General features: G+C 55.8%; 2 protein-coding genes across 11 annotated transcripts in view, besides 4 other annotated features; one reads left to right on the plus strand and one right to left on the minus strand.

Moving 5' to 3' along the window:
* The window catches only part of MACROD1 (mono-ADP ribosylhydrolase 1), a 167,556-nt gene that overhangs the window by 91,140 nt on the left and 49,973 nt on the right, over positions 1-26,443 (minus strand). The window contains exon 4 of one of the 4 annotated variants that reach the window (XM_006718521.4): positions 25,493-26,289. The exons of the other annotated variants lie outside the window; for them this stretch is intronic. Within the exon in view, the coding sequence (XP_006718584.1) occupies positions 26,210-26,289 (80 nt within the window). The 3' untranslated portion in view covers positions 25,493-26,209. Of the gene's footprint in view, positions 1-25,492; positions 26,290-26,443 lie in introns of those variants that run through there. 4 annotated transcript variants of the gene reach the window in all.
* FLRT1 (fibronectin leucine rich transmembrane protein 1) overlaps positions 1-26,443 on the plus strand; it is an 83,241-nt gene that overhangs the window by 53,767 nt on the left and 3,031 nt on the right. For 3 of the 7 annotated variants that reach the window (NM_013280.5, NM_001423967.1, NM_001384466.1), the window contains exon 2: positions 13,497-14,484. The gene's annotated coding sequence lies outside the window, so the exon portion shown is untranslated. Of the gene's footprint in view, positions 1-1,495; positions 5,473-10,165; positions 26,428-26,443 lie in introns of those variants that run through there. The other 4 variants (XM_047426696.1, XM_047426699.1, XM_047426698.1 and 1 more) reach the window with 4 other exon arrangements.
* Positions 3,554-4,224: an enhancer, noted in NCBI's record as "H3K4me1 hESC enhancer chr11:63860723-63861393 (GRCh37/hg19 assembly coordinates)". NCBI's record gives its function as "activates a minimal SCP1, AML or CMV promoter by ChIP-STARR-seq in naive H9 embryonic stem cells {active_cell/tissue: H9 hESC(naive)}" and the evidence as "EXISTENCE:reporter gene assay evidence [ECO:0000049][PMID:30033119]".
* Positions 4,554-5,061: an enhancer, noted in NCBI's record as "H3K4me1 hESC enhancer chr11:63861723-63862230 (GRCh37/hg19 assembly coordinates)". NCBI's record gives its function as "activates a minimal SCP1, AML or CMV promoter by ChIP-STARR-seq in primed H9 embryonic stem cells {active_cell/tissue: H9 hESC(primed)}" and the evidence as "EXISTENCE:reporter gene assay evidence [ECO:0000049][PMID:30033119]".
* Positions 4,760-5,054: a silencer, noted in NCBI's record as "tiled region #12931; K562 Repressive DNase matched - State 8:EnhW". NCBI's record gives its function as "represses a minimal TATA promoter and a strong SV40 promoter by Sharpr-MPRA in K562 cells {active_cell/tissue: K562}" and the evidence as "EXISTENCE:reporter gene assay evidence [ECO:0000049][PMID:27701403]".
* Positions 20,673-21,453: an enhancer, noted in NCBI's record as "H3K4me1 hESC enhancer chr11:63877842-63878622 (GRCh37/hg19 assembly coordinates)". NCBI's record gives its function as "activates a minimal SCP1, AML or CMV promoter by ChIP-STARR-seq in naive H9 embryonic stem cells {active_cell/tissue: H9 hESC(naive)}" and the evidence as "EXISTENCE:reporter gene assay evidence [ECO:0000049][PMID:30033119]".

Raw genomic sequence — 26,443 nt, forward strand, 5'->3', positions numbered from 1 at the left:
AAGTGGGGCTCTTGAGGGAGGGTGAGAGGCCCTGAGACAGTGCCATCGGGGAAGCTGCCAGTCCCGTGGGGGCAGGGCTGAGAGGAGGGTAAGGGCTCCTAATGCCAGTCTCTGTGCCCACTCATAGGTGTCCTGCCCCCAGGGAAAGAATGAGGAGGATGATGGTGCTGGAGTCGAGACCAGCTCTGCCCTGTGTGACCCTGGGCAGGGCATTCACCTCTCTGAGCCTCAGTTTGCCCCCCACGCCCTGTAAAGTGAGAGGATTGGATAAGATGGCGTCTTCATTGTTTCAGCACTTATGACAAGGCCCTCCATCCAAGTAACAAACAAAAGGGAAACACAAAGCCTGTGACTGGACTCAACAGCTGTGTCATCCTGAGCCCAGAACCTTCTAGAATGGGGCTGGGGGAGGGGAAGATATGCACCCTCTCCCCACGGGGCTAGGGACTCATCTCTGCCTGTCTTCCCAGGCCCCAGGTTTCAGGCCCCGAACAGCCTGAGTCCACAGGGTGACAGGGTGTGGGAAAGGCCAACGGGCGTGTGGGTCTCCAGCCTTTGCTCATCCTCGGGAAATGCATCGTGCGTTGCTTTTCCCGTCTGGGAGTCTAATAGTCAGCAGTTATTTATCGTCTCGTTTCTTAGTGGGTAGGAAAGCCACAAATAAGTAAACTCAGGCAGCAGGGCACAATTACTGAGCCTGGTGCTTTATTTCCTCAACTCACCTCCAGCCCGGGCAGCAGTGGGTCGATAATAATTTACGAGGCAGCCCCTGAGGTGGAGGAGGAGGAGGAGGCCAAATAACCACATTTGCTTCCCCGGGCCCTCCCTCGACCGGCTCTGCCTGCTCACAGGTGGCTGGGCCAGGAGGCTCCGGGATGAGGCAGGAAGTGGAGGCTGTGGCCAGCCATCGCCGCAGGAGGGGTCCCAGCTGGAGCACTGCGCAGCCCCAGGCCTTGTCCCCAGCCACCAACAGACCACTTCTCTGAGGCGGGGACGTCCCAAGACTAAAATGGGGGCAGGGGTGGCAGCGTCTCTCCACCACATCCCAAGACTAAAAGGGGGGCGGGGTGGCGGCGTCTCTCCACCAGGCACTTGGGGTTTGTCTCTGGGGCTCTGCAGAAGCAGAGCCCGAGTCGGGTCCAGCCCTGCACTCCCAGGGAGCCCTGAGGGACGAAGTAAAGCAGGAGAGGGCAGGGGGAGGGACAGCCAGGGTGGTCACAGTTTGGTCTGCCCTGTAGGGGGCACTGGCAGAATCTGCAGCACTGACCTCTGACCTCTGGGTCAGTTGGTTACTGACTGCTGACTGTGCCTAGGAGAAGGGGGAGGAGGGAGGGGAGAAAGAAGACAGAGGAGGAGGAGGGAAGAGAAGATGAGGAGGGACATGGGAGGAGGAGGGGAGAAGGGAGAGGAGAAGGAGGGAAGAGAGGGTGGGGAGGGGGCATGGGAGGAGGATAGAAGAGGGATGGGGAGGGGGCCTAAGACTCCAGCTCCTGGGGCAAGGGAAGTGGGCAGTGGCAGCCTCCGCTGCAGGGTCTGCAGCCCACGGAGTGTGGGACAGAGTTCATCCTGCCTCAGAAGGAGGCTGGGATTTGGATTTCATCACTCACGTAGCTGATTTCATCACGTTTCATTTTCTGTCAAGTTTCCTGCCGTTACAATCTCATTCATTCCTCTGGGGACATGAGGATGCCAGGTAGGGAGGTTGGGGGGCGGGTGGCACCACCGCAGCTTTTGCCCCAGGGCTGCACTGGTGCCAGGGAGGTGGATGTGGGGGACGAGCCTACAGGGGTGAGGCTGGGGTGGGGTTGGGGTTGGTGGGTTACAACAGTAGCTGAGGTGCATGCCCAGGGAGAGCTGGGCCAGTCCTTCGGGCGTTTGCACAGCACCTCCTGGAGTCCTTGCCACAGCCTAGGACGTTGCCGCCACCATCCCCCCATCCGACAGATAAGGAGACTGATGTTCAGAAGACACTCGGCCCAAGGGGCACAGCTGCTGAAGTTGCACGAGGGGCCCCAACTCCCCACCTGGACACTGGCCATTAGCACTGTCCTGTCCCCTCCAGCAAGGCTTACTGTTCTTCCCACAACAGCCCTCCTGACAGTGGGCCACTACCCCAGTCCCCCAGGAGGCTGCTGAGGCCCAGCACAGCCAAAGGCAGGAGCACCAGAGCGGCTGCTGGGCCAATCCCACCATCTGGCCACTCTTCTCTGTGTCCCGAGGCCTCTCTCTGGGGCTGCAGGAAGCATACTGAGGGCAGTGGCGTCACTCTGGGCTCTCAGGTGGTAGAGGACAGCGGGGCTGCCGGCCCTCTATCCCCACGTGATCTCAGCTCCTGAGGGTCCCAAAAAACAATCCTCCCACCCAAGCCAGGACCATAGCACACTCTGGTGTATTCAAAAGGCCACCGTCCTTCCTGGCCTCCAAGCTTGGCCCGTGTTAGGGTCGCCGTGGCATCCCGAGTGGGTGGAGTCACTGCACAGTCTCAGGCTCCAAAGAGGGCTCTAATTCCTACCCACTAACGTCTCCCCTGTTCTTGTCTTTCTGTCTGCCTCTTAAAAAAATTAAACACGGATGGTTTCATATGGGGAGAATTAGTATTCCAGGCAGGCCAGGGGATGTGATCAGAATGTCAAGGCCAGAGACACAGAGCCTGAAGGGAAGGAAAGAGGTGCTGGGCCTGGCAGGGGTCCTGGGGTGGGGGCAGAGGGCTCTGACCCTGCCTATGGAGGGCTGGTGGGGCCTCCCAGGGGCCTATGTGCCGCTGGAGAGGTTGAGGTTGGGTGTGGCCAGAGGTCTTGACACAGCATCCACGATGGGAGGAGATGGGGCCGCTCAGAGACCGCGTGTGGTCATGACACGTGCCTTCCCATGGCCCAGCCCGGCTCCTCTGCCCCGTCCACTCCCACTCTCATTCAGCCCTCACTTGCTGCAGGCACGTGTGCCACTGTGTGCCAGCCACCAGCTGGGTACCAGGGAGGCACAGGGCAGGGACAGGCCTATCCTCACCACTGCATGTCACCAGCACCAGGCCCCTGCATGGCACACAGCAGCCCCTTACCAAAAGCCTGAGTAAACGGGTGCATGAACACCCACAGCATCTCCCCAAGCATGGTTTGAAGAAGACATGAACGCTGGGAGGTTAACACGTGTCACCAAAGACAAAGTCAATGGGTAACCGCTGGAGTGAACAAACTTCAATTGGCATCTTTGCCGCAGGACTTCTCAGATCCTTTAATATGCTAATGTGCCCTGTGACCCTGCAGAGGGAGTTCGGCTTGCAGCCTCCAGCCAACCTTTAGTCCCTGGCCACACCGGAGTGGCTGGTGTGGCCTTGAGGACCCGGAGTGGAGAGAGGAGTGAGTTTGCATCCAGGCTCTGGAGCAGACCCCCTGTGGGACCCTGGGCAGGCTCCTGAATATCTGTTTTCTCAGGTGGAAAATTGGAATGGTAATAACAGTGCCTGTGCATTCAGTGAGGCGACGTGTGAATAGTGTCTGCCTCGGACACAACACAGGGCGGCCACTACTGTTGTTAGTATTATTATTATTATCCACATCAACATCTCAGCTCTGTGTGCCTGGGCCATCTAGAACTCGATCGAGTCAGCTGCTGGTGTTGTCACTGCTGCGGACACAGTCCTTACCCGTAAGAGCTCACGGCCCATTGGGAAAAGACAATTATACTCCCCGGTGGAGAGGGCAAGGGCTGAGTGAGCCGGGAAGCCAGGCCTCCACCTGGCATGCTCACCGCTGCCTGGCATCTCTGCCAGTGGCCATGTAGACTAGGTATGGATGCCCCTGGTGGGGGCAGCCTGGCCCACCTTTGGGCATCTCTGCCTGGTACAGATTTCTTTCTTAACTCCATCCCTCCCAGTCCTTCCCTCCCAGTCCTTCCAGTTCTTGGGCCTCCCAGAACAGGTCGGTCTTCCTTCTCTGCTGAAGACAGGAGACTGCCCTCTTCCCTGGACAGGGCTGAACAAGCCCCACCCCCTCTTGGTCATGGCCAAGGTCACTCCCCACCCACTGGGCCTCCCGCTCTGTAGTGTGGCTGTGTGTCTCTAAGAGCCCAGAACAGAACAGTGTTCTAGTCTGGCCTGGCCAGGGTGGAAGGAGGGAGGAGGTGGTACAGTGATCACCTCCTTCAATATACCATTGATTCCTCCATTAATACAGCCTGTGCAGCAACCAGAAGCTGGGGGCAAGGTGTCCCTCTGTGTCTGGTACAGTGAATCACCTTGCTCTGCAGAAGCAGAGGATAGCTGGCTGATAGAAAGCACGGTGCCAGGGGAGCCTGAGAGGCCAAAGCTAAGCAGGCCAGGGCCGGGCGCAGTGGCTTATGCCTGTAATCCCAGCACTTTGGGAGGCCAAGCCAGGCAGATCATCTGAGGTCAGGAGTTTGAGACCAGCCTGGACAACATGGTGAAACCCCGACTCTATTAAAAATACAAAGCTTAGGCTGGGCGTGGTGGCTCACGCCTGTAATCCCAGAACTTTGGGAGGCCAAAGCGGGTGGAGCACAAGGTCAGGAGTTCAAGACCAACCTGGAAGACGGTAAAACCACGTCTCTACTAAAAATACAAAAAAAGTTAGCCGGGCATGGTGACAGGCGCCTGAAATCCCAGCTACTCAGGAGGCTGAGGCAGATAATTGCTTGAACCCAGGAGGCGGAGGTTGCAGTGAGCTGAGATCATGCCACTGCACTCCAGCCTGGGCGACAGAGTGAGACTCCAACTTAAAAAAAAAAAAAAATCCCAAAAAACAAAGTTAAGCAGGCTGGGGACAAGGAAGGGTCAGGGAAGCTTCCTGGAGGAAGAAACAGTTGTCAGTTAGAAATGAATGGCAGGCTCCTGGAGTGAAGGCCTCCTGAGTCATCCATCCCTGCCCCTGCCTAACCGCAGGCTGACTGGCAGAGCCATTGGGTCGCGTACGTCATGGGGCAGACTCCGGAGGCTCAGTGTGTGGCTGCTGCGGGCGGGACCATTTGTCTTTGGGAAAAGTGGTTCAGGGAGGCTGACCACAGAGGCCAGAGGCCTCTCAATGCTGACCCCTATCTACCAGGATTTAGAAAGTCACCCCTGACCCCACGACCACGGCATCCTTGGCTGTGCCTGGGGTTCACAGGGGAACTGAGGCTGAAGCACTTCCCAGAGGTCACATCCAGGTTGGGGGGCCCAGGAGTGGATTTCGCCGAATGTCCCATCTGGGCCTGTGTCCCAAGAGGGGAGGTAGCCACAGGTTTCCCAGCCCCGTGTGCTCCAGGAGTGAAAGTACTAGGGGCCTCGTTAGCTGTGGCTTCAAAGAGCCTCGTTATTAACAAAAGTGTGCCGCGAATGCTTTCTCTTCCTGCTTCTCTCCTTAAGGCAGGCTCCCAAATGAAAAGGAAAATATACAATGAGAGGCACTAAGGAAACCTCAGAGGAAAGCCAGGCGTCTGCAAAGATGGGGAAGGAACGACATTCCACTCTCGTGTGAGGTGTGGGCTGGCTTGCTTGCTTTATTTATTTAAAATAGTCTCTCTTTTTCCCCCATTCCTCCCAATTCAGCTAGTCTCTCAGGCGCACTTTAAGTTCTTTTGAAGTGTTACAACCATTTTCTCCTCTTTCAATTAACAACAAGAAAAGGAAGCTAATAGCTTCCTGAGCCACTCGCTGTAAATATTAACAAAGTCTGGCCGCCTGGGCCGAGCGCACAGCATTGCTCTCGGCCAGAGAGAGCATGTTTATGGGAAGGAGGGAAAGGGTGGGAGATTTCCAACACAGGCAAAAAATCCCTTGGCACAGGCTCTTGCTGGTGCAGGGAAACCAGAGAGCTGGGAGCTGAGTGAGAGGGCACCTGTCCCTGGGGGCTGGAGGCTGGCAGAGCTGGTGGGAGGGAAGTAGAGAACTGAGGTTGCTAGTGGATGCTTCTGGAAGGAAAGGCGGCTTCCCCCAGCTGCACCTGAGTAACTCGGATGATGGCATATGTGTGGACTGGAATCCCCAGCTCACAGCGGAGGTCTGAGGAGGGCTGGGTTTCTAGATGCAGCAGGCGGAGGGAGGTGCTGCACACTGGACCCCCAGCACTAGCACGGAGCCCTTGAAGGAAGTGAGCAGGGGGCTCCTGAAATAGGCCAAGAGGGGCTCCAAGTCAGGGGTTGAGACCTGAATGGAGGAGCGCGAGGCTGAGGGGAGGGTCTGGGGAAGGGGCAGCCGAGGGAGGGAGCTGACTGCCTTTGGGCAGAGCCTGGGTTCTCTGACAGCTCCTCGCTTTCTCCCTGGGGAGTCTCCAGCAGTGGTCCCCCCACCCCCCAGGGGCCCATGAGCCTGCAGGATATGTCGCGCTGCAGCCAGCACAGTGCTGCTTCAAACTGCCACTTGAGAGCTCCAGCGTGGGGACAGCGTGGGGCCCACTTCACAGCCAGGCTGCCAGGAGACGCTGTGAGAGTGCCCAGACCCTGGAGGCCAGGAGGGGACCAGGGCTGCCCGCCGGCTCCACCACCTGCCTTGGCCAAGGGCCAGCCAAGAGCACTGTGACGGGCAGGCAGGGGGTCGAACAGCCACTGTTCTGCCGACAAAAGCAGGCCAATTTCCTGAAAGAAGAGGTTCCGGCCTTGGCTGGTGGCGCCAGGTTCATCACCCCGAGCTTCCTCTAGGCTGGACACGGTCCCTAATGGGCACGGGCGACGCATTACAGTGAGGTCTGCCAGGTAGAGCTGGCAGGCAAGTGGTCGTTCCTGTCCCCTCTTTTTTTTTTTTGAGACTGAGTCTCGCTGTGCTGCCCAGGATGATGAAGTGCAGTGGTATGATCTCGGCTCACTGCAACCTCCGCCTTCCGGGTTCAAGCAATTCTCTTGCCTCAGCCCACCGAGTAGCTGGGATTACAGGCGCCTGCCATCACGCCCAGCTAATTTTTTTATTTTTAGTAGACACGGGGGTATCAACATGTTGGCCAGGCTGGTCTCGAACTCCTGACCTCAAGTTATCCGCCTGCCTCAGCCTCCCAAAGTGCTGGGATTACAGGCATGAGCCACCGCACCCTACCCTCTCCCCCTTTTGTGCCTAGAGTTGCTCTGTGAAGGGGCAGGCTCTGGCCGCAGTGCCCCTCCCTGAGGGGAAGAGGGCAGGCCTGTGGGGGGCTGCCGTGTCCCCATACCCTCCAAGCACACTGCCAGCTGTGTCCCTTCGAGGGCCTCCCCCGGCAGAGCTGAGAGCCGATGCCTGTCCCTCCGTGAGCTGGGTGCGAGTGGCCCTTGCTGGTCCCCCGCTCACCCACTCTCTCAGCGTCTGGGCCCGGGAGTTCCTGCCTACCCTTGCTGGGAGGAGATTGCAAAGGCACAAGAGCACTCCAGGCGGATGAGAACTCTTCAGGCGCCTGCCTGCTCCTGTCTCCCTGCTGCCCGGGGATGGCGGTGCCCACTGGCAGCTGTTTCTAGGTCCCTGTTGCTCAGCTGCACTGTGAGGACGGCAGCTTCAGCTAGGGAACCCTCCCCCTCTGCAGCATCCTGAGCCTGGCAGAACTGGGCCTCCAGACCCCCCAGAAAGTACAGGGAGGGACTGCTGGGTCCAGTGGGGCAGGTAGGGAGGGGCAGGTGGCTACGGTCTGCGCCCAATTTGGGCTTCTCTGCCAACTCAGCACCAAGGGATGGGTGAACTCCCAGGCCACCTCTGGCCAGAGCTGCCCACATGTGAAGGGAAGGAAGGAAGAAAATAAAGAAGGGGAGATGTCCCGTGGCAAGAGAAGCTCCGTCCTGGGCGAGTGGGCCCCGCACCCCTGAAGTGCCCTGCTCTGGGCGCTGCCTGCTGAGTTTCTCTGATGGCCATCTTGAGGGTGGGCGCTGGCAAAGGCCCAGGCCCGCCGGCCGGGCGGCACAGACTCCTGAAGCCACCCACGGCCTGGCTCGCACACTCTCGCAAATACCCTGAAAGTCTGGGTTTTGTCAGGAGATGGTTTAATTAGCAGAGCGGAGGCTGGGAGGGTTCGCACCACACAAGCAGGCTCTCGCCTCCGCCTCTTCTCACCCTGCTACTCGGGTGCCATGCAGCGGTGCCAAGCCTGGGGGCCCGGAGCGAGTGGGCAGGGAATGGGGTGGGCCCATCTCACAGGGCAGAAGGCACAGCCTCCAGAGGCCTTCCTGCTCCTGCTCAGGCCTGGGGCTGCAGGCTGCAGATCAGGACCAGGCTTGGAGCCCATAGCAAGCCGGCTGTCCATGGCTCTCTTGGTGGTGCTCCTGGGAGCACTCAGCTGCCCTCCAGTGAGGAGAAGGAGGCGGGAACCCACTCAGCACCCAGGCCTGTCTTCAGGGAGTAAAACCTGGGGGCCTCCCAAGTTGGCCCCTTCCCTTCAACCCCTCACTGTATGAGGTCCCTACCCCATGTCCCTGTCCCTGTTCCTGAGGACATGGTCCCAGCTTTTCACTGGTCCTCTCCTGTGCACCTGGGCACCTTCCAGGTCTCCATGCAGCAGCGAGAACACTCTTTCTAAACTGCAAGTCTGGTCACGCTCCTCCATGCCTCGGCACCCTCACAGCCTCCCCCCTGCCCTTGTACAAAGACCAGGCCCCTCAGTGCAGCATTCAGAGCGCCCCTAAGGCCAGGCTCCGGGCCCTGCTTCAGCTCGGATCACGGCCCTCCACTCACTCAGAGCTCTGGGACACTGACCTCTCACTATACCAAGCCCTCCCACCTCCAGTCTTCACATAGGCTGTTCCCTCAGCCTGAAATGTTCTTCCCGTCCCACTCCCAACATGCTGAGCCCATTACTGGAGCGGTCCTAGCCCCCACACGGCAATGCTCTCCCTGCCCCCAGCCTTCTGTCTCCAGTGCCCTCGGGAGAGAGGGAATAAGCAGCCCCCAGACTGCTCTCTGCAATGGGAAAGAAAGGAACAGGCTCTGTGGATGGCCATCCTGGTAGGGGGAAGTCAGAGCCATGGAACAAACTCCAGTTTGAGTCACAAAGAGCCTTTTCATCTATAAAGGTCAGATACAGATGCTGACCTCAGCCTGGAAGTCCAAAATGAAAGAAAATCCTGGGTCTCCTAGCTCGCACCAGCTCTGACCTGCTTACAATGATCTAAACTCTGCCCTCTTTGCCACAGGGCAGCTCTTCCCAGGGAGGGGGCAGGCATGTTGTTCATTTAAAACACCACTTCGCTAAGTCACCAGCCATAAAGCCCACCTGGGTTTCTAGCAGCACATACCAGCCATCTGATTAATGACACATACATAAAAATCCATCCCAAAGAGCCAAAGGTTGAAATGAAACAGGAGGGCTAATTGCTAATATAGGAATTAATATCAGAGAGCTCCGATCTTTAAGGCAGCTATGAACTGTAAAGCTGAGGGCCTGAGGATCGTTTCTACTTCGGGAGGAAGCCCTGAGTGCCAAGGGTGGGCAGTGGCTCTAGAAGATAGGCAGGTGGTCAAGGGGAAACACAGCCAGACCTGCCTCCCTCTGGATTGCCACTGAGCTCACATGTGACTGTCATAACATGAGAGTACCCCAGAACCACAGCACAGCGTCATCTTCTCCAAGAAGCCTCCATGATCCACCCCACTCCCCGAAGGCTGGGCAAGGCGGGGCTCTTGGCTCCCACACTGCCCTGTGTGCGTCTCACATTGTAGCCCTCTGAAAACCAATGCCCTCCCCACTGGACTGTGAGCTCCTGGAGGATGAGGGCATCTCTTTGGATCCCCAATGTCTTGTACAATGCCTGGAGCATGATTAGACTCAGAATATGTTTGCTGGATGGAGAGATGGGTAGATGGAAAGATGGAGAAATGGATAGGTGGAGAGAAATGGATGAATGGAGAGACGGATGGATGAATGGACAGACGGATAGATGGAGAAATGGATGGATGGATGAAAAGATGGAGAGATGGATGGATGGATAGAGGTGAATAGATGGACTGATGGAGAGACGGATGGAAGGATGAATACAGAGATGGAAGGATGGATGGATGGAGAGATAGGAGGATGGATGGAGAGATGAGTGGATAGATTGATGGAGGGATGGATGGATGAAGAGTTGGAAGGATGGAGAGATAGATGGAAGGATGGATGGAGAGATGAATGGATGGGTTGACAGATGGAGAGATGGATAGGTGAATGGAGAAATGAGAAGGAAGGATGGACGGATGGAGAGGTGAATGGATAGATGGATGGATGGATGGATGAATGAATAGAGAAATGGTGAGATGGAGGGATCGAGAAATGGAGGGAGAGATGGAAGGATGGAGGGATGGATGGATGGAGGGGTGCACAAGAGAGCCTCAGGAGAAGCCCAGGACCCCTCAGTGCAGTGTTTGGTGGATGGTCCGTTTCTCTTGCGCTGTCTTGGAGTAGTGCAGCAAGAAGGAAACTGGCCTGGAGTTTGAGGCCCTGACACTGCTACAGGTTGTATAACCCTGCACAAGTCCTGCTCCCTCTTCTCAGTCCACACAATGAAAGTGGTCCTCCCTGACCTGCTAGCCATGCTGTCTTCCCAAGCTCAGGGAAGATGGCAAGGCAGAAATTACTGGGAAAGGACAAGGTGCATTGTCCCCTGGCATATATGTATGGGCAGATTCGGCCAAAACGCAGAGGGTGGTGCAGAGATGTGAGATTGGGCACTTGGCTTTCTTTCCCTCCTTTCAAATTTCTTTTAATACAGTTGTGATGTGATTGACGACAACAAAAGTAGAAAATTGTGTAAGCATCTCAAAGTACTTTTACTCAAAATGGAAGCTTTTATGATGTTGACTCAAAAAATGGTTTATTGGTTTTGAGCACAGAGACCAGACCTGGAGCCTGTGGGAACGGGGGAGGCCAAGGCGAGGAGTGTAACCACTAACTTCACACGGCATGGTCTCCACTCACTCGAGCCAGAAGGGTGGCCACTGGGGGTGCTGTGGCTCTGGCGGGAGGTGTCTGCCAGGCGCACGCATTTACATATTTATTCTTGGGCCTCCTTTGGTTCAGTGAATGCAGGTGGCTACTAATGATCATCATTATGCGCCCACACAAGGGAAGAGCCACAGTGCTGCTGGAGAGCTCACACCTCCCAACCACTGCCAGCCAGACTCACTTGGAAAACCAATACACACCCCAGAAGCCTGAGAGGCCCCACTTATCCAGGGCACAGACGCTGAGGAGCCCAGTATCCCAGCACTGGGGTTCCAGGAGGCTCTGCAGGCCCCAGGGAAGGTGGGGGTGGGGGCTGCAGCAGGGAAGGTGGACTGAGGACATACAAAGCTGGACGGGCACCAAGAGCCTCACTTAGTGCCTTGGTTTTCTAAATGAGGGAGCAGATGGAGAGTTTGGTGGGTGCATTTATTAAGCACCAACTGCATGCAAGGCACTGAGCCAGGTGCTGGGGGATCCAGCCTCAGGTCCTCCCTTGAAGCCAGGGAGACAATTCTTTTCATGCTCCGTTGTTGCTGTCATGGTTCACAGGACCACACAAGCCAAGCAGAGGGTGGCCCATTGCAGGGAGGGAGGGATGACGTCTGCATGGATTCTTACAGAAGGGGAACAGTACAGTGAAGGGCCAGGCTGGAGCCAGCTCAGGGCATTAGTGGGCAGTAGTGGGAGACACGGCTGGTGGGCTGGGCAGGGCCCTTGGAGACTACTGTAGGAGCACTGCCTCTATCCTGAGAGCTATGGGACGCTCTCAGGATAAAGCCGAGAAGCTATGGGAAGGGTCTGAGGTGAACACACCAGTGGGATGAACCTGCCTCCTTTTTGGGTTCTTAATTTCAAAAGCAGAGCTCAGTGGTTTCTCTCTTTATCGGGAGGCAGCGGCCACAGCTGACTGGAGCCTCTGGGCTCCCAGGACACGGCAATCATCCTCTCAAAATGCCAAGGCCCGCTGCCCCTGCCCCACCCCCATCGGTATAAAACAATTTCTGCGCCCCGGCCAGGGAGGCGGATGACCTCACTGGACTTTTTCCATCTCTCGCTTTCATGGAGAAATTACAATTTATAATTGGATGAAATCACGCGGGTGGTAATAGCAATAAGGGCTCGTGCTAGAGCCGGCCGCCCTCCCGCCGCGTGCAGGGACTCTGTCCTCATCTTCCCTCCTGCGTAAGCCCCACCGTACCCCTTCCAGGGCCTGTGCCCCACCTGTAGTATTCACCAGGCACTGGCCATTCAGAATCGATGTCCCGTGGGGCTTGCTGGCTCTGAAACCTCCTTCTTCCTAGGGCAGCTTGTCCCAAGAAAACTCCCCCTGCCACCCTGTCCACCCCATCAGACTCAGCCTGCACACCACCTGGCTGGCACACACCCTTCCCAAATGCCTTCCCTGCCAGGCTGTGAGCCCCGTGGGCAGCCACCCCCCATCTGGGTGCTGGGCTTATTAAAACATGAACCCTAATATCCCTGTTTTTATTTGTAACGGCCTCTGACAACAAGCATTTCTCAAATCAGCCACCTTAGGCCCTACAAAGAAAAGTGCCCAGATGCAGCTGAGCCCATCTGGATCTGATTTCAAACCAGAGTGAGCACTCTCAGATGTGTAATAAAAGCCCTTTTCCAAAGAGGGGTTCCTGCAGGGGGAATACAGACACCAGGGCGCCGCGGCCCTTCCACATGCCGCACTAATGAGAGGTGCTGGGGAGGGCTCGGGGTTTTGTTTTGGATTCCAGAACAGCCTGCCCTGCCCTCCGTCTGTGTGGAAGAGGAGGGCGGCTGCGGGTGTTGAGGACTGACCCCCCACCTAGGAAGTGGGGTGGGCACCAGACAGAGGCCAGAAACACGGAGACCCAACTTCCCCAGTTCCCTGATGGTCCTGCTTCCCATGGTGGGGAAAGGCAGTGCTTGTTCTGGAAGCCCAGGCCATGGCGGCCCAGTTGGAGCCTTTGAATGACATTTAGCAAGAAGAGCAGGTGCCGGGGGAATTGGAGCCAGCTCTGGGCTGGGCGGTTGGCCCTGCACGGCCAGGAGCTCGAAAAACTTCATTTTTCTCTTCCCAGTCCTTCCACCCCCAGGGAGGGAAAACCAGGTAGCTGCAAGGCTGGGCACCATGCATGGCCAATTGTCAGGATTTGGAAAGAGGCAGGAGATAGGGAGAATAACCCCAGCCCCTTCCCCGGCTCATAGGCAAGTGGCATTAAGAAAAAAAACAGGATCCAGGCTGGGTACAGTGGCTCATGCCTGTAATCCCATCACTTTGGGAGGCCGAGGTGGGCGGATCATGAAGTCAGGAGATGGAGACCATCTGGCCAATATGGTGAAACCCCATCTCTACTAAAATTAAAAAAAAAAATTAGCCGGGTGTGGTGGCTCACGCCTGTAGTCCTAGCTCCTTGGGAGGCTGAGGCAGGGGAATCGGTTGAACCTGGGAGGCAGAGGTCGCAGTGAGCCGAGATTGTGCCACTGCACTCTAGCCTGGCGACAGAGCGAGACTCCATCTCAAAAAAAAAAACAAAAAAACAGGATCCAAAGCAAAGGGGGCTGCAGCCCAGTGGCCCTGGTGGATGTTGTCCCAGTACGGTCCCTCATGTCTCTGGGCTTAATCACTGGTATTGTTTTTGGCAGGTGAGGAAGCAGGCAGTGGGCGAGAAGATGGATTCCTTTTTGGACAGACAAGACCAGAGAGTGAAGCGGGAATAACTCATCCTCCCTACCTCCCCAGCAAGGAAACCTCTACAAACAGGAGCAGCCAAGCAGGACTGAGGCCCTTGCCCCCCAAGCATCTTCTCAAAGAAGGGCATGTGGGGGCCTGACAGCTCAGCTGCATGTGTCAGCAGCTCCAGCCCCACCATGAACATCTGAACTCCTCAGCGGGGTAATGGACCCCCTCCTTTCCCCCGGAGACACAGCCTGAGTGGCAGGAATACAGAGCCTTTGGAGAGTGGCTCCCTCTCAGCTCCGTCATGCAAGAACACTCTCTGCACCCAGCCCATTCTGCCAAGTGACTTAAAGGAATTAAAAAAAAAAAAAGCCTTGGTAAACAAAAAGGGGGTAAAAGCCACGCAGAGGCCCTTCAGAAGAGGTGGCGGGCTGCAGACAAAAGGGCAAGAGTTGAAAAGGGCTGTGGAGGTAGCAAGCAGCAGAGGCCACCCTGCTCAGGGCTGGGTGCCAGGCCACAGGGCATGCCCGACGAACAGGGAGTCGGAACCCCCTCAGGCCACCCTCGGGAGTCCTGGGGTCCAGAGGGGTGTCCCTGTACCCCTTGCACACAGGACCCTCACTCTGCAGGGATAAGCCAGCTGCGCCTGCAGCCTAGGGTGCCAAGGAGGCTGCTGATTGTGGCCCACAGCCTCATCTGAACGCCAGGAGACCAGGATACCGAGGCACCGGATCCCCTCTCTGTGCCCTGGGGAGCCCCAGTGCTGCCCAGTCACCCCAGGGCTGAGGTCTGCGTCCCTAGTGGTGCAAGGCCTGGTAGGACCACGGGGCAGGGAATGTGAGCGCCATCTGAGCTCACGGTGTCCTGAGTCGCGGCTTCGTGACTTTGGCAGGGGCCTCCGGACCAGTGACCCCAGTCAAACCCAGAGGGTCTTGGGCGGCAGCGACGAAGGAGGTAAGGCCCAAGGACAAGGGAAGAGGGACGCGAATTCAGAAGGGCTCCAGGGTGGGCCCAGGGTTCCTCGCACCCAGACAGCTGGGTTGCACCCTCCAAAGGCCCCTTTTCCCAGCCAGAGCTCCACAGGTCTCCAAGGGTCTGCAGCTCCATCCCACACACCCACTCACGCAGTTCATGCAGCTGGCAGCTTCTGCTTGCCGGCATAAGCATCATTTGCCACCTGGTGGTCCCCGTGCTGCTGGGCTCTACCCAGCAGCTGGACCCAGGATGTAATGGAGTGGCCTCTCCTGGAGTAAATGGCCCTGCAGCAGGGTGGAGGAATCTCATTTTGAGCCCCCTCCCTAAAGGTGGTAGCAGTGAGGCCTTGGCGGGGTGGTGGGCAGGAGCTCTGGTAACCTAGGCTACTTGCCCTGGCGCCTGCTGCCCTTGAACGAGAGGGAGTCCACAAGTCTATATCAGGGCCCGCCCCTGTTCTGGCCAGGGGACCCAGGGTGGGTTGATCCAAAGCTACTGCCCAAGGTCCTGCTCCTGTTGGCCCTTGGGCACCATCTGCACTGGCTTCCAGTTCAGCCTCTTTGTTGGTTACTGGAGCAAGCTGAGGCCCAGAGAAGGGCAGAGAGTGCCCCAAGGGTCACACAACAGGCGGTGAGTCCTCCCTGCCGCTGAGGAGGGGCTGACTCCTCCAGGGATCCCAGGAGGCCAGAGGGAGAGGCTGCACCGCCAAAAACACAAATCCCAGCAACCTCAAGCCTCTGTGCCCTGGGCAGGACAGGGAAGCCCCAATTCATTACCAAGATGGAAAATGACACTTCCCACGCTCTTCCTCAGGAGAGGGGTTGATTTATGATTGCACCAGGGCCTGGGACATTCGTCAGCACGGCGCAGCATGCATGCCATCTGCGGGGGCATTAATAGCCATGTTATTAGCCACCGGTGTGAAAGATGCCCTGCGGATGGGCTATTTGCTGTTATTTATTATAAAAGTGCGCCAGCCCGACAGCGGGGCCGCGAGCGTGCCTGAGCCGGAGCTGGGCTGGCTGCTTCTCTCCCAGTGCCCAGCCCTGGTCCCTACTGCCCCTCTAGTCCCTAGGAGGGCTCGGGGGTCATTCCCAGGCTGAAGCCAAGCTAGAGGGGAGCAGCTGCTGTCCCCCAGGCCTGCTGCCATGAAAGGTCTGCTCAGTGGCTCTGTGCAAAGGGAGGCAAGAAACAAACGCTCTGGGCAGACAGACCTGGGTTGGGGCCTGGCCCTCTGGTTGTGAGCATGTGACCTTGGACAGGTCTGCCCCTCCCTGTATGCCTCCCCTTTCTGCACTGGGGATGCAGCCTGTCCCCTCCACACAGGCTGTGGCCAGCTGGAGAGAGCATTCTATGACGTGCCCAACACTCAGGCACCCAGCCCTGCCAGCTACTCCTAATGCTAAGAGGCGTGACCCCACAGGCATGAGTGACCCCACAGGCGTGAGTGACCCCACAGGCTTGAGGGGCTGCAGACATGCTGGTGGAGAAGAGCGGCTCCCATGAGGCCCTGCTGGAGTTGAGACACTGTTCCCCAGCATCCTCCCTGTGCCAAACCCCTGGGAAAGGGTTACAGTTGGGCGCCAAGGCCCCAGGAGGTGGGCGGGGAGGCTGCCCACAGCTGCGGGAGGGCTCTGTCTCCACCCTGAGCCTGTCTCTTCCATGCAGGGCCTCAGATTTTCCTCATCTGCAAAAAGCAGACAATCGCTGAGGTCCTTTATCTCATGATTCCAGGGTCCTGAGTGGTGGGTTCCATCCGTGAGTGTATCTGTGGGGTGGGCGGGAGGGGAAAAGGCCCTCTGTAGGAAAGTGAGGATCACCTCTGATAGTTGGAGACAGACAGGCAGTTGGGCAGTGCCAGGCCAGCATCCATATCAGTGGGGGTGAGGAGGGATGGCCAAGAGTCTCCCTTTGGGGTCAGAGAGGTCCCGCTGGGCAGCTGAGATAGGCGGTAGGAGACCTGGGAAGGGGAGAGCTCCAGACATCGAGTCTGAGGCCTGGGTTTGTGGCCACCCCTCTGCCATCTGCTGCACAATCCAGACCTTTCCCTTTGCCTCTTTGGGCTGCTGTGGTGAGGGCACCCTGGGTCACCATGACGTCCTGGGGTGGGCTGTAGGAAGGCCAGCCTCCCTCTTCTCTACCACCCAGCCCTGGGTCTAGGTTCAGGGGCCTCCCTTTTGGTGGCCCTGTTCATTCATTCATCAGATGTTTACTGAGCACTTTCTGTGCCAGGCTCCATGCCAGGCACAAGGCAGACCATGTCCTAACTATAGGAGTTTACATTCTAAGGGGAGGAGACAATCCATAAACTCATGATAAATAAATAGGGAGGGTCCCACTGGGAGAAGGGCCTGCCTCCTGCCTTGTCAGGGTTGTTCTCAGCCCCTGAGAGGCCCTGCCCTCAGAGCCCAGTGCCAAGCCTCTGATCTAGGATCAGTGAGTGTTGCCCATCACCAGCCTTTACTGGTCACACTGCTCCTCTCCAGGCTCTCTGCTGTGGCCCAGGATCCTAAAGGCGGCTGAGGAGAGAAGCAGTGCAGAGCCCGCAGCCTCAGTCCTGTTCTGGAGGACTGTCCCCAGCCCTGCTGGTGCTGCCTCTCTTCCTTTTCCTCATCCCCCAAAATAAAGACCTTTAGCCCCTCTCCTTCCCTCTGAAATTCCACTGGGCTTTCTTTTATTTATTTTATTTTATTTTTTTTTGAGATAGGGTCTTACTCTGTCACTCGGGCTGGAGTGCAGTGGCACGATCTCTCGGCTCACTGCAACCTCCGCCTCCCAGGTTCAAGTGAATCTCCTGCCTCAGCCTCCCAAGTAGCTGGGATTACAGGCATGCACCACCATGCCCAGCTAATTTTTGTATTTTTAGTAGAGACAGAGTTTCGCCATGTTGACCAGGCTGGTTTTGAACTCCTGACCTCAGGTGATCCACCTGCCTCAGCCTCCCAAAGTGCTGGGATTACAATGAGCCAACTTGCCCAGCCCACTGGGCTTTCTTTTTCCCTTCCATAAAGGAATTAAGTCTCAGTTTAGGCAGCTTTACTAAAAATGGACACAGACAGACAGAAATATCAGGTGTAGGAGCATCTTATTAAATAATGCCGAGAGAGAAAGGAACAAAATTACACGTGTCTCCTTTCATCCCCCCACCCCCTCCTGGCCTTGAATGGTTTAATATCGAACACTGTTATCAATATAATTAACTTCCTAAGACACAATTCTAAAGTCCTGTTTTTTTAAAAGCGATTTACATTCTCTGAAGTTCAGGACATCCCGCCGCCTGGCACCAGCGCCACCCAGCCGGCCTATGTGGTTAGGTGCATTTATAGTGGATTTGCATACCTGTCTGCAATTACCGCCAGTGATAACAGCTGATGCATAATGCATGCAGCATGAAATTAGAAAAATAATTAACTTTAGGTTTTAAAAGAATTCCCGCCCCAGCCCCCATGCATCACAAGTTCTAAATGATACCAGTGGATGGGATCCAGGAGCAAAGCTGTTCAGGGTGATGGGTGTGGCTGGCTGGCACCCTGCCCTGGCGGGAGCTGGGGTTAGAAGGTCCTTGAGGGTCATGGCATCTAGTCCCTGCCCTAAGGAGATGCCTCTGGTGGGCCTGCAGTCCCTGGGGCATCTGCCTGAACTAGGGCTTGGAAAAGCCCCACTCACACGACTCAAGGCTCCCCTCCCTTCCTGCAGTTCATGTCTGGGGCTCAGGGAAGAATGGCTCATTGCTAGTAATGGTAATAGTTCCCTCATTCTGAATACGACTCTGCTAAACATTGAAAGTAACCTTATTTTATCTTCACAAAAGCCCAGGGAAGTAGATCGTTTATGGTCAGATAGACTTGAGACCCCTGTAATCCCAGCACTTTGGGAGGCCGAGGCGGGCAGATCACCTGAGGTCAGGAGTTAGTGACCAGCCTGACCAACATGGAGAAATCCCGTCTCTACTAAAAATACAAAATTAGTGGGGCGTGGTGGTGCATGCCTGTAATCACAGCTACGCGGGAGGCTGAGGCAGAAGAATCGCCTGAACCCAGGAGGCAGAGGTTGCGGTGAGCCAAGATCGTACCATTGCACTCCAGCCTGGGCAACAAGAGCGAAACTCTGTCTCAAAAAAAAAAAAAAAAGACTTGAGACCCAGGGCCACCCCACAGTAGGCTGAGCAGCTTGGTTGAGCCAGGCAGACCACTGGCTACTTGCCTTCACAGGAAAGGGGCTTCCTGGCGAGAAGGAGGGGAGCTCTCCCTGGGTCTCCCTGAGCACCAGGAAGCAGCGGCCTGCCCTGTCTACCTCCTGGCCCTCTTCCCTCTGTCTTATTTGCAGTTGAGCCCCCAGGAAGGTGGGGTCTTTCATTAATTTAAACAAAGGTTTGCTGAAGCCCCATCACAGAGCTGGAGATGATTGTGCCTTGGTAGGGCTTCCTGTCTAGTGGGAGGTGGGACTGGGGTCCCACTGGCCTTTCCCGCTCTGGGGCTGAGAAACTGCTTCTGCCCGCAGTCTGCCTGCACGGCATTCTCAGTGAGGAATTGAAGGCATGGCAAGGTTTAGGGGAGACACATGAATTATTGCTGAAGGGAGGGACTGGCAGGGGAAAGACACCTGCAAGGGACCCCACCTGGGGGCTGGGAAGTGGGGGAAAAGCCAAAGGACCCCAGGGTCTGCAGCAACCACACACCAGTGCCAGGCCACACACCAGTGCCAGGCCACATGGGCAGCCAGATTCCTAAGGACAGAGGCAGGCAGGTGGGCAGGAAGGAGGCTGAGGGGCAAGTGGGGGTGGGGGAGACGTGACCAGCATCCATGCACGTGAGCATGTACTTGTCTTTCCTACATACAGAGTTTACATGCAGGACACTTCCTCTCCCCGCCTGGCCCTGCCTGAGATGCCCCCATCCCAGGGATGGGACAGGTGAAAGAGGAGACGTGGGAGTGAGGCCAGACAGGGATGGGGGGCTATTTCCTTGCTGGCTTCCAGAAGCTCCTGGGACATGCCTGTGAATAGAAAATAGCATCCCCAGGTTCCATGAGGGCCAGGAGCCAGCAGCAGGGTCCCCAGCAAAGGCTGAGCAGCAGACAGTGGGCCATAAGCCACCACGAGGGGTGGGGAAGAAGCTTGGTGTCACTGACTTATAAAGGCTTTGCAGTTGGGTGTAGACACCCACACTCAGCTTCCCTACTGCTCCCCCAGACCTGGGAAACCCGGGAGGCTGCCGGCCTCTCCCCACTCGTGACACTGGGCAGCAGCTCCACAAAGGGTCTAATGCACCGTGAGCACAGCTTCTGGGGAGGGCTGCAGAGGGGGTGGAAAGGGGAGGGACAGAAGCCTCAGGACTTCTCAGGGGTGGGAGTGAGTGTGGCGTGGAGGAGGTAGGGAACTATTTCTGGCCACTGGATGACCTGGTGACGAAGGCCCATTTAAAACCCTCTTACCTCCCCGGACTCCTCCACCCTGCCCCCAGCCTGGAGGGCCTCCCATGGGAGGCTGGTGCGGCCCCACAGGAGGGGATGGTTGATGGCCCCATCCACCAGCTCTGTGCGGCCCAGACATAGGGTCAAGGCTGCCAGCATGGCTTGGGGGAGGGGCAGGGTTGCACCCACACAGTTTGAGGTGGGCAGGGGGCAACACCTCAGCTTCACAGAGGCTGATAAGGGGTCAGCCTGTCCGGAAGGCACAGCAGGAGCAGGGGAGTAGAGAACGGGCCACTGGAGCGCGGAGGACAGAGACGGGCAGCTACTGCAGAAGCTAGGCCGTGTGTCTGGGGAGGCAGAGACTTGGGGCAGCTTTTAAACTGGATGCGTCGGGGGCATCCAGATCACACTCAGGAGGGGGTACTCTGCACATATAATGTCAGTGAATCCTGAATTGTAAGTTCCCATGTAAGGGCCCCTATTATGACCACATTTATAGATGAGGAAATCAAACCTCAGAGAGGGCAAGCAGCTTGCTCAAAATAACACAGCCTGAGGCCCGGCGTGGTGGCTCACGCGTATAATCTCAGCACTTTGGGATGCTGAAGTGGGCAGATTGCTTGAGCCTAGGAGTTCAAGACCAGCCTGGGCAACATAGCAAAACCCCATCTCTGCAAAAAATACAAAAATTAGCTGGGTGTGGTGGTGCAGCATGTGGTCCCAGCTCTGCAGGAGGCTGAGGTGGGAGGATCACCTGAGCATGGGGAGGTCGAGGCTGCAGTGAGCCGTGATCGGGCCACTGCATTCCAGACTGGGTGACAGAGCGAGACTGTCTCAGAAAAAAAAAAAAAAGAAAGAAATCATACCACCTGAAAGTGGCAGAGGCAGGATTTGAACCCAGGCCTCTCTGTCCTGGAGGTTGGCAGGGGACAACGACTGATAGAGCCAAGAATAATGCCAAGAATAATGCCCCAGGGCCCCCAGCTAAGCGGAGGAGTAATGGACACCTACAGCCTGAGCCATCCCACTGCTCCCTTCGCCCACCCCCGTGGCCCGCTAAGGATCCGGCTGTCAGTCATGGAGCTGGCAGGTCGTAACTCACACCACGCTGAAGTCTGAGGGATCCACGCAAGGGCGACAAGCGATCCCATAAAAGATGGGCGATTTACCAGGTTTAATTTGATGGCCACATAAACTATGAAACACACAACAAGGGAATAAAAAGGCAAGCAGGCACCCAGGCAATTAGAGATTCCTCTGGTGAGGCGTGCTATCTTCCTCCCCACCCCCAGGTCCCGCCCTACTTTCCTGGAGCCAGAGGGCTCAGCCTCGGGCTGGCCTTGGGGAGGGGGGCGGCAGGGGAGCCTTTGGCCAAGATGGATGAGGCCCACAGACAGTGGAGCGGAAAGGCCTTGGGTCCCTGCCTCCCAAATGCTTCTTGGTTATCCATCAAGCATCTCTGAAAGGTGCAATTTAGACTCTATTATGATGCTGAGGCCTCTGAAGGCTGAGGACTGTGGCCATGAGCTGAGCGGGCGCTGGGAACAGATGTCCATACCAGGGAATGCGGTGGCTTGCCTTGGCTTTGGCCTTAACAAGTTTGCCCCCTACTTAGGGCACTGCTCAGAACAGCTGAGTACAAAGGCCACCTGTATCCCTTGTGCCAGAACTCAGCAGCCAACAGACCAGGTTGGGGGTAATCCTCCAGCCAGACGCTGGGGGCCCCCTGGCAGAGGTGCTCCTAGACTCAGACTTGACCCTGGAGACTGAGGCAAAGTGACCTGTGAGCTGGCCTGTGTCTTCCTGTCTCTAGCATTGCCCTGTGCTACCTACCTGCTCATAAGTGGCTTGAGGCAGGACCTCCGGCTCCATAACCTTCACGAGCCTGGCTCAGTGCAGAAGGGACAGACGTGCAGTGGGAAATCTGGGCTGGCTGTGACCTTGGCTGGGCCCCTCATGTCTCTGAGTCTCAGGCTGCTGGGCTGTGAAATGAGGGCTGTGGACCTGTGTGTAGGCGGCAACCTCTGCACCCTTGCCTGTGAAGGGGGGTGGGTGAGGTCTGGCCAGAGAGGTCACCCCACCACCTAGGCTTTTCCTGATCCTCTGAAGGCTGATGTGTCTAGCTCTGCATGCTGTCCTGGCTTCAAGCCCGTCCTTTCCCATGATCTGGGCCAGTGTCCTTCCCAGTCCCCAATGTAATGAAAGGTGAGGTGGTCAGATAAGGGTCAGAGCAGCCTGGGATGGCCCTGGGCAAAGGAAGCAGGAGGCTCACAGGAGAGTGGGCATCTCCATGAAGGTCTGAGAATGCTCAGCCTGGGCTGCAGGACTGTGTCTGGGCTGGCCAGGGACTCACAGCCCTCAGCAGTGTGGAGTCAAGCACTGAGGTCCTGCAGCCACGCAGCCCTGGGGTGGAATCCAGACCCCACCTCCTTCTGCCAGGGGACCATGGACAGGTCTCTGTGCCTCTGTTCTCTCATCTACAGAACGAGTCCATCACAGTTTCTCCTTTGAAATCTTTAGTGAGCATCTGCCACGTGGGAAACACTATGAATAAGATGCACAAATCCCTGCCCTTGTAGAGCGTACCTTCTAGTGGGGAGACAGACAATAAAAACAAAAAAGGGCCAGGCACTGTGGCTCACCTGTAATCCCAGTACTTTGAGAGGCCCAGGGAGGTGGATCACGAGGTCAAGAGATCAAGACCATCCTGGCCAACATGGTGAGACCCCCGTCTCTACTAAAAATACAAAAAATTAGCTGGGCATGGTGGTGCACACCTGTAGTCCCAGCTACTCAGGAGGCTGAAGCAGGAGGATCTCTTGAACCTGGGAGGCGGAGGTTGTAGTGACCCAAGATCGCTCCACTGCACTCCCACCTGGTGACAGGGCAAGACTCCATCTCAAAAAGCAAAACAAGGCAAAACAAAACAAAAAAGATAAAACACGTAGTGTGTTAGTTGGTGGTAAATACTATAGGCAAGCAAGGAACTGAGAGGAGTATCTGGGAGTTATAATTCTCGATAGGGTGCCCAGGAAAGGCCTCACTGGAAGGAGATGCAGGCGTGGATCTGGGGATGAGCTGTCCAGGCAGAGAGCACAGCACTTGCAAGGGCCCTGGGGATACTAGGGGGTGCCTGGCTGCTGCAGTCAGTGAGAGGGGAATGGGGTGGACCAGGCCAACAGGGGTGCCACATAGGATTGCACAGGGCCTTAGCAGCCACCTTGATGACTGTGGTGGCTGCCTGGGCAGAGACCCTGTAAGTGTGAAGGGAACGTTTGAGTGTGCAGGGGTGAGTGGCAGAGACATTCACCACGGCAGGGCCCATTCTGTCATCGGGTGGTCACTGATGCAAAGCCATGCTTGGCCACAGTCCCTGCCCTGGCAGTTTGGTGACATGAAAACACCAGTCACCAAATGGTGTGACCTGCAACCCACAGAGTGCTGCAAGCCTCAAGATTGCCAAGATTCTGGCCTCCTCCCTAGATGGCCTGGGTTCCTCCTACCTGGTTCTCAAGTAGTCTTGAGTAAGCTAACATCTCTGAGCTTCAATTTTCTCATCTGTTAAATGGGATTAAGGGCACTGACCTCATGTTTGTTGGGAGGGTTAAATGACTTAAATATTAGGAAAGTTCTCAGCAAAGCCTTTATTATAGTGTGAACTATCATCCATCCCATCAGAATGGAATCCCAAGTGGCTACAACAGGGCCTGGAATATAGTAGATGCTCAATAAAGCTCTGTTGGATGCATGATGGATGGATGGATGGATGGATGGACAGGTGCATGTGTGAATGGACAGGTTGATGCATGGATGGATGGATGGATGGATGGATGGATGGACAGGTGGATGCATGGATTGATGCATATATGGATGGATGGATGGATGGTTGGATGGATGGATAATTGGATGGATGGATAGACAGGTGGATGCATGGATGGATGGATGGATGGACAGGTGGATGCATGGATAGCATGGATGGATGGATGGTTAGGTGGATGGATGGATGGATGGATGGATGGATGGATGGATGGATGGATGGGCAGACAGGTGGATGCATGGATGGATGGATGGATGGTTAGGTGGATGGATGGACGGACAGGTGGATGCATGGATTGATACATGGATGATGGATGGATGGATGGACGGACAGGTAAATGCATGATGGATGGATGGACAGGTGCATGCATGATGGATGAATGAACAGGTGGACGCATGGATGGATGGATGGATGGATGGACAGCTGGATGTATGGATTGATACATGGATGGATGGATGGATGGATGGATGGATGGATGGATGGACAGGTGGATGCATGGATTGATGCACGGATGGATGGATGGATGGATGGATGGATAATTGGATGGATGGATAATTGGATGGATGAATGGACAGGTGGATGCATGGATGGATGGATGGATGGACAGGTGGATGCATGGGTTGATGCATGGATGGATGGATGGATGGATGGATGGATGGATGGATGGACAGGTGGATGCATGGATGGATGCAAGGACTGGTGCATGCCTGAATGGATGAATGAACAAGTGGATGGATGCATGGATGCCTGGATGGATGGATGGTTAGATGGATGGATGGATGGATGGATGAATGGACAGATGGATGCATGGATGAATGGATGGTTAGGTGGATGGATGGATGGATGGATGGATGGACAGGTGGATGCATGGATTGATACATGGATGACGGATGGATGGACGGACAGTAGATACATGATGGATGGATGGATGGACAGGTGCATGTATGAATGGATGGATGGGTGAATGGACAGGTGGATGCATGGATGGATGGAGGGATGGTTGAATGGATGGATGGATGGATGAATGGATGGATAGATGGATGGATGGAGGGATGGTTGAATGGATGGATGGATGGATGAATGGATGGATGGATGGACAGGTGGATGTATGGATTGATGCATGGATGGATGGATGGATGGATGGACAGGTAGATGCATGATGGAAGGATGGTGGACAGATGGATGGATGGATGGACAGGTGCATGCATGAATGGATGGATGGATGAATGGACAGGTGGATAGATGGATGGATGGACAGGTAGATGCATGGACTGATACATAGATGGATGGATGGATGAATGGATGGATGGATGGACAGGTCCATGCATGAATTGATGGATGGATGAATGTACAGGTGGATGGATGGTAGGTGGGTGGACAGATGGATGGGCAGAGCAGAGGGAAGCTTTATCTGGGGCCTCAGGAAAACCTAGCAGAGGAGGTAACATTTGAGCTGGGTCCTGCAAGAGTAGCTTGCTCGATGGAAAGAAAAAGCAGCTCAGGAATAGAGAAGGACAGAGAAGACAGAAAGTTTGGCCTGGTTGAGTAACAGAGATGTTCAGTCCCTGGGGCATGAAAATAAGGTCCCTGCTGGCTCAGTGAGCAGGTGCCGGCTCTGCTCTGCACACCAGGGCTGCCCTCCCAGGCTGGGACTTCAGGTTCCGAGAGGCCATCATGTCCCATCATTGAAAAGCCTCCGTGAACCCAGTGTTTTACAGCAGACTTTTGCTGGCTGCATGAAGACACCTTCCTCACTGAGACTGAAAGATAATTTCTCTTTAATTGATTTTTTACCACTATGAACAGTAAAATAATATAAGAAAAATCTATGCTGCTATTTTTCCATTTGTGAAATCCAAAATTACACCTTGCAGCCAATTCCCTCAGAGTACAGACGTGACTCCTCCCTCCTTTTATTTGTCTCATTCCTTTAAGTGCAAGAAAACAGACCACTTTTTTTTTTTTTGAATAGCTGAAAGTTTATGATTTGAGAAAGGGGCAAGGTGTGGGACAATTTCCCACACAACTCGGAACCCAGGGCCAGGGAGGCACCTCTGATGAAAAGAGATTTCTGTAAATACATGAGAAAGTGATTCTGTTGACACCTCATTCTTCTGTCTGTAGAATGTACGAGTGACAACAGGACATGTTGTTTTAACACCAGACAATGAAGCTCCCTGCTCTCCACTCCTCGCCAGTGATGGCACTGACAGCTTCGTTCCCGCAGGTTCTGGCGACGCCCCCCTTTTGAGCTCCTGGGCCTTCCAGCAACAAGCTTTCCTTTCGAATCCTGGGTCCGAGCCAGACAGCAATGCGTGCTCCTCGTGCAGTGCCAGGGAAACAGCAGCTATGAATCCATAAAACACGCCCTAAATCCATCCCATCCATATTGACTGGTACCTTTAGCGTTGGCCATAAAGTGGCTTTGTGTGAAGTCTTGAGAGAAGAAACCAAGCCTGCTGCATGGCTCTCACTAAATTAACCTCCCTGAGGCTCCGGATCACATTCCAGGAGGGCCGCGGCAGCACGGGTCTCATTAATGCGCAGCCTCTTGGCTCCTGATAAGATTTAACATTAGCCAGATGTTGTTAGAGTCCGACCTCGGCGGGAGCAATCACCTGCGGCATAAACCTGGCACAAAGGCCACTCCTCCAGCTTGACCTCACCCCGCAGGACCGGACTTCGGTCACCCCTTGGTACAGGCTGGCAGGT

This window comes from Homo sapiens, chromosome 11, assembly GCF_000001405.40.
Source record: "Homo sapiens chromosome 11, GRCh38.p14 Primary Assembly".
In the NCBI taxonomy this organism is placed as follows: domain Eukaryota; kingdom Metazoa; phylum Chordata; class Mammalia; order Primates; family Hominidae; genus Homo; species Homo sapiens.